Raw genomic sequence first — 6,622 nt, forward strand, 5'->3', positions numbered from 1 at the left:
CCTTGCCAGTAAGTGGGTTTTCATGTGCATGTGATACAATTCTGGTGAATGAGACACGTGCAGAAGTCTGATGGAGGGCTCTGGTGAAAGGTCTTGCTCTAAATAAAAGATACAGGAAGAATTTGCTCCTTGGTTCTCCTTCAATGTTGTTGGGCTTGGATTGATAACTGAAACTGCTGCAGGCTTCTTGTGTTTTCAGCAGGAGTTTGCCTAATAAAAAAACACATGATATGACGTAAACTGGAATCCAAACAATGGTGGAGAAGCAGAACTCAAGTCCTGTTCCTCAGGCCACTCTTCTTTCGAATGATGTCCCAAATCAGTGGCTCTCAAACTTAGCATGCATCAGACTCACTCACTTTAAAAGGCCTCTTAGAACTTTCTCAGTTCTACCCCTAGAGGTTTTCATTCAGTAGCTCTAGATTACAGCTTACTCTAAAAAAACTTACTCCCAGGTGATGCTGTGCTGCTTAACTATGGGACACACTTTGAGAACCACTGGTGTAAATAATTGACCTACAATGTCCTTACTACTTGCAGCCAAAAGCATTTTAGTGGACCCCATTGTCAAAACCAGAATTTCATCTTAACCTTGTTTCACCCTAAGCTCTCTCTTCTTTGCCCCATACAAGTCTATTGTGAAGTGTCATTCATTCTACCTTCTAAATATATTCCTTATTTGTCTGCCTTTTCTATAGTGAATATCAGTTTCTAGTTCAAGCCACTATCATCCCTCCCTTGGATTACTGCAACAATCCAAATTGATTTCTACTCTCAGGTTCATTTCCTCTGGATGTTCTCCACATTGCCATCAAAGGAAGCTTTCAAAAATCTAAATTTGGTCATTTATTATTTGCTTAAAACTTCACAAGGGCTCCCCAAGCCTGCAAGAATATGGTACCAAGTCTGTACTTTGCTACACATGCTTCAGGCTCATTCCTTGTCACTCCCCATCTTGCACTTGCCTACTCCAGCCTTCTAGCTGTCCTCTAGTTTGTTGACACCTGAGATCACTTTGTTCTCCACTCCTCTGTGTCTTCTCATATGCTCTTTTGTTCTTCCCTAACCTGCCCTCTTCTCCTTTGTTTGGATTACACTTACTTATCTGGAATTGAAATTTTTGTTTGGATATCTCTTCCTCAGGGAAGTTTTCCCTGATCTCCCAAGTGTTGACCTGAGACCCCTCCTATGAGCTCCAAGAACATTCTTTATTTCCCCTACAATAGCATTGATCTTATTGCACTGTAATTACCTTTCTGCTTGTCTATACATCTTGGGAGAGCAGAGACCACATCCACCTCATCCACCATGAGAATCCCACATTTTTGTTATTATCATCTTTTTCATCATCATCCGTCCCATCCTTCTCCTCATTTAGCAAACAACCACTAAGGAGCTTACATGAATATTTTATTTGACATTCTAACTACCACATTTTACATATAAGTAAATTGAGGTTCAGAGGGATCAAGTAATTTGTCCAAGAAGGTCAGCCCAAGGAGAAAGTGGGATTTGAACCAAGGGTATCTAACTCTGGAGTTCACTTTCCATTTCCTCCTTCTCCCAAAAACAGTGTAAAAGCACCTGATTTTCCTCTATAAAACTACTACCCCCTCCACCCGTTCTCACCTTCCCTTTCCTGTTTTCACACCTCATATCACCCCAGCTCCAATAACTTCATGTCCACGCATTCAGAGGCCTGTGGGCAAAGGCTTAATTGCAGCTTGCCAGAGAGGTACAAAGCCTGTTGTTGATCCGATTCCCAGACCAGCCAGGCATCCCCCTCACCATGCTCTGGCTAATGCCTGTGCTGTGATCCTGCTTTCTCACTATACAGGTAAGAACACACACACATTACAAAGAGAAGGGTCCCTTCCAAGTATTTATAGGTATGCCACCAACCAAATTTAGAAAACACTAGGTTCTAAGAGTAGAAATAAAGGTAAAAGTCCTCCTTAAGATCAATAAGCTAAACAAGCAAGCAGAAAAAAGAAAAATTATTCTGAAATGTAAAACTAAAATTGCCACTGTTGGTAAATTATAAATCCCACCTCAAGGCCACCCTGGACACATGTACATTCCTCTACTGCTGCATGAATTACTTCCTTCTCTCCATGACACATGACAAGTTCTTTGAACTCCTGAGCACAAGGACTGTTTTCACCCTTGGGTGCCTAGCATGGAACATGGTCCTGACATAACCGAGGTGCTTAAAAAAAAAGAAAAAGAAATGAGGGCAGTTTACATATTACCCAATGAAGAAAAAACATACATTTCCTTCAAAAGTTTTTCTTTTTTAGCAAGATAGTTTAAAAAGATATCTGGCTGAATAATTTAAAAATTGGACTTGAATCAGTCTGACTAGATGCTATTAGCATTTCAGAACTACAATGGAAAGGTAAGTTGTACTCTATTCTGTCATCTCCAGTGTTCTAAAACAGAGAGTGTTACATAAACTGTCACCCTGCCCCATATTCCATCCAGATTTCACCCTGCTACCGTTCCTGGCCCTTCTTAGCCCATAGTGGCACTCCATAATGGTTCTGTCAATTTCGTCACTCTGGGGCAGCCAGTGTTCAACCTCTCATTTTATACACAAGCAGGCATCTTAACACAATTCAGTGTTTTGTAGGGACAAGGACACAATCCCCCTTATACCATGTAGCAGAGGGAAGGGGCAAGGTGAAAAACAGACCCCAGGGCTGCCTGCCCTCACTCACTCTTATTTTCTCTCCAGGCAGTGGCTGCCCTGGACAATCAGTGTGCAGTTGTCTGACAGCCAGCTGGAGCCATCTATTCTTCAGCCTGATGAATTTTCTCCAGTCAGCACAGTGATACTGTCATGAGTAGACACGTAGCCTCAAAATTGAAGCTTCCTGGGAAGAGAACATCCTGAAGATTGTTTGAACTGTATTACTAAATTTTTTTAATGCATGATGACTCAACCCTGTGTGTTCATTGCAAACACAAACAGGGTTGAATTTTAAGGGTGTGCCTGGTTAAACATCTTGTATATGGCCTCTGTATTAAGACTAACACCTGGCTAGAAGCTGCAATTTATTTTGTGTGGAGTGTTTAGTTTTCACATAGAATAGAAATTGAGAAAGAAGCTGTTAAATCAGGTAAACAGGTGTCACATCAGGCATGTCCTTAAGTGTCATGCATTTTTAATATAAAGGACATTATTGAGAAATTAGCAAAATTTAAATGAGGGTTGAAGATTAGAGGGCAATAATGTGTCATCGTTAACATCCTTATTTTGATGGTTGTATTGTAGTTACATAGGGCACGTGCCATATAAAAAGACTGTGGGGTACAGAAAAACAGCGCAAGAATTACCCCAGGTTGCTTACTGTGTAACAGGAAAGCTATCAGGTGCATGTAAAATATGATGAAAAATACAATGCACAATGTTGTAAGGACCAAATACAAGACAAGAAACTGTAGTTCTCAGTATTTTCTCCATCAATGGTACTGACCTTAACACTTACTCTTAAATAGTTGGACTCAAGGGTTAGACTCAAGTCACTGTGAGCCAGGTGTAATTTCATTCCTTTCTCCTCTACTGAATGGACACTTAATGGAGCAGGAGTAACATTTTTCTAATATTAGTTTTGAATTCATTACAATTTTATGTTAAAAGATAAATGCCTCGCCACCTTAGGACATCATCTCTACTTAATTCATCTCTGAGACAGTTCATTATGTCTCAGTATAACCCAAATTAATAAATTTCAAGTAGGGCTAATTTTTAAATGAGGTAACAAGTACTGTCACTGCTGTCCTCCTAACCCCTCCATTAAGAAGTATTTCCTGCTCATTGTATTCCAAAAATCAGCAACTACAAACTGCCTGGTGCAGCAATTTGGGAATCCTAATGCCTGCTACTTTCTTTGTGGCTCATTCCATATGTACTGATAGCACTGGGATAATAAATTTATGGACAGTTCTCAAGTTCAATATTCATTCTTCTATCACTACAGAGGGTGTAATGCTAGAGGGTAAAAGGAATACAGTTCCTCAAGATGCTGATAGGCTAATGGAGGGAGATAATAAACACAGGTAAACTCCCAAATACATACATACAAAACATGCAAAAAACAATTTGTCTATGGCTAATGATAAGAATAAACTTTCCTCTCTCTCCCAGTACAATATTTGGAATTTCCCGTCTCTCTCCTTCCTTCTCCACTGGCTTGGACCGGAATCTCTTCTCATTCTCCCCCAGCAACCTCAATCCACAAGCACAGCAAAATCAATGTACTGGAGATCCGGTATCTCTACTTTGTGGTGATTGCAGGTTTCCTTGCGTCCCTGAATCTATTTCCATACATATAAGTCTGGAACAAACAAACCTACCACCAAGGTTGGAGTTGGACTTAATGTAATAATGCATTTGAGGCACCCACACTCAGAGACTGCTCCCAGCTCTCTTCTCTGCTTCTCTCAGCACAGGTCAGGTCTAGGAATGCATTGGGAAGGTAGAAGGGAATAAATGGCACAGGAAAGGGAAGAGGAGGGGAATGATAAAGGCCTTTCTCTTTCACCATGGCTTTGCCACTCCTAACCCCAGCTGATGTCTTCATCTTTTGCTCTCAGAGAGCAGACAAAAGCCTCTCTGCTTCCTGTTCTCTGTCTGCCCTCATGGTGTCAGGAGTAGAGAGGCATCAGGCAAACCATTAAGGCCCTTTTCAGCTCCTGCAGTGCCAGAAAGAGCAGGCTAACTCAACTTGGGCTGATACTGATCTTCTGCCTGAGAATATACAGACTGCATTAGAATCTTCTTAATATCCTCTGCATTTAATTCCTTACCCCAGCACTCTCCAGTGCTAGCTTCCAAGCTGTGGTCCAGTGCAAAGAGGAGATTACTTGGCATTTCCTGTCCAGCCAACTGCAGAGCCTAGAACCCCTGACACCCAGCCACCTGCCCACCTGCCCCATCCTCAGCTGCAGCTCAGCCCAGGTGTATAGGCTCTCTACTGGGACTAAGGAGGAGTAAGATGGGATGACCAAGCATCCTTTCAAACTCATCTGCAATCTCCTTTTCTCCATCCATCCACGTTCACCAAACCCAAGAACTATTCCTAAGGCTTTCCAAAACTACTGAACCCTCTGAGTCCTTCTCACTCTTCTCCTCTCCCATCACAAAAGGTAAAAGAACACTCTCTAGATAAACGCAAGGAGAGAGACAGAGACAGAGAGTAGGTCAGGAAGAGGGCAAAAACTGGGAACACTCATGTGATATCAAACTGTGATGAGTCACAAGTGTAACTCTCTCTCTTGGGTTCCACTAGCATCATCCTCAGATCTCCACATGAGCATATACCAGTGCAAGAACGTCCTGTTCCCAGAAGGGCACCAGTAAGGAAGAGTGCATAAATATTCTGGAGTCATTTCCAAAGAAACAGGCTAAGAAGGGACTGATCGAGTAATTATTTTTGCATTCTTCAGAACTTTCTGGATGTCACTTCAGGTATTCCTGGGTGAGGCTTATACATAGTTTTTAGAGGCAGGAGATTCCTGTAATCCAGTGGAACCTCTCTTCAGCTATTTTAAGACCTTGACTCAGATGTCTTGAGCTATTTTAAGGCACTTAAAGAGTTTGGCTTGTAAGAAAAGAAAATCTTCTGTAGGTCTGTGTTTTGGTGGTACATCTCACAAAGCTTATCAATTCTTTATTTCTTGTGTCCCACTAGAAGAAATTTCCAGCATTAAAACAACGTAGAGGATCAATCTGTATAACACTATTTAAGGAACCCTAAACTTAAAGCCCAGGTCCGTGAGCTCTACTACTTACTCTACTACTTGCCAGGCAAATTTGGGGGAACATTGGCTTGTCTCCCTGATAGGGTTCTCATGAGGAGCATAATAGATGATATGTAAAAGTTTGAAAAAATGTGATATGCAATATAAAGATAGGATGTTATATTTCAAGTACTAAAATAAAAACACAAAGCCTGTGAAAAAGAACACAAGACTGCTTTGTGCTTAGAGTTACCTATTTTCTCTAAATACTACAAAAGACCTTTGCAATGGGAAAGTCTCTGAATCTTACATTTTTCTTTTTAAAAGCAGGAAAGTTTCTTCTCCTATCTGACATCTGGATTATAACTATAAATCAACCTAACCCAATAGGTGCTAGATTGTATGTTTGATTAATTGGCATAAATGTTCAAACTACAAATCGAAATTTAAACTATTCTTTGAATAAGTTTATCATTTTTTAAAAAACTATTTAGGTATAAGATCTAATGTAACCAAAAGACTAACTGATTGGCTGACTGAAGGACTAACATCATGAATGTTGAGAGCCTAACTATAAAATTTCAGCTAAAGGCAAATAGGAGGAAGTGAACTCTATTTTCTATTTTTTGTGCATAGAGCTTAGTTCATACAGCTCAGTCTTTCAAGCCAATCAACTAATTCACAAGAGAATAAAGTTCTTACCCAAGAATACAGAACTTTGTTCCTGTAGCACACCATAACCACCTAAGCCTTACATTTAATGTAACGTTTTCTTTTATAAAGTAATCCTAAAATCCATTATTAGAAAATAACCATATATTTTCTTTTGTTCTACATAATCATTATTTGTTATGTGGTGCTTATTTTCTTAGTACTA

General features: G+C 40.2%; 1 long non-coding RNA gene across 1 annotated transcript in view; it reads right to left on the bottom strand.

Annotated features, from left to right (window-relative positions):
* The window catches only part of STXBP5-AS1 (STXBP5 antisense RNA 1), a 363,227-nt gene that overhangs the window by 310,386 nt on the left and 46,219 nt on the right, over positions 1-6,622 (bottom strand). The gene's annotated exons all lie outside the window — the stretch shown is intronic.

The sequence above is a fragment of the Homo sapiens genome, chromosome 6, assembly GCF_000001405.40.
Source record: "Homo sapiens chromosome 6, GRCh38.p14 Primary Assembly".
Lineage (NCBI taxonomy): Eukaryota > Metazoa > Chordata > Mammalia > Primates > Hominidae > Homo > Homo sapiens.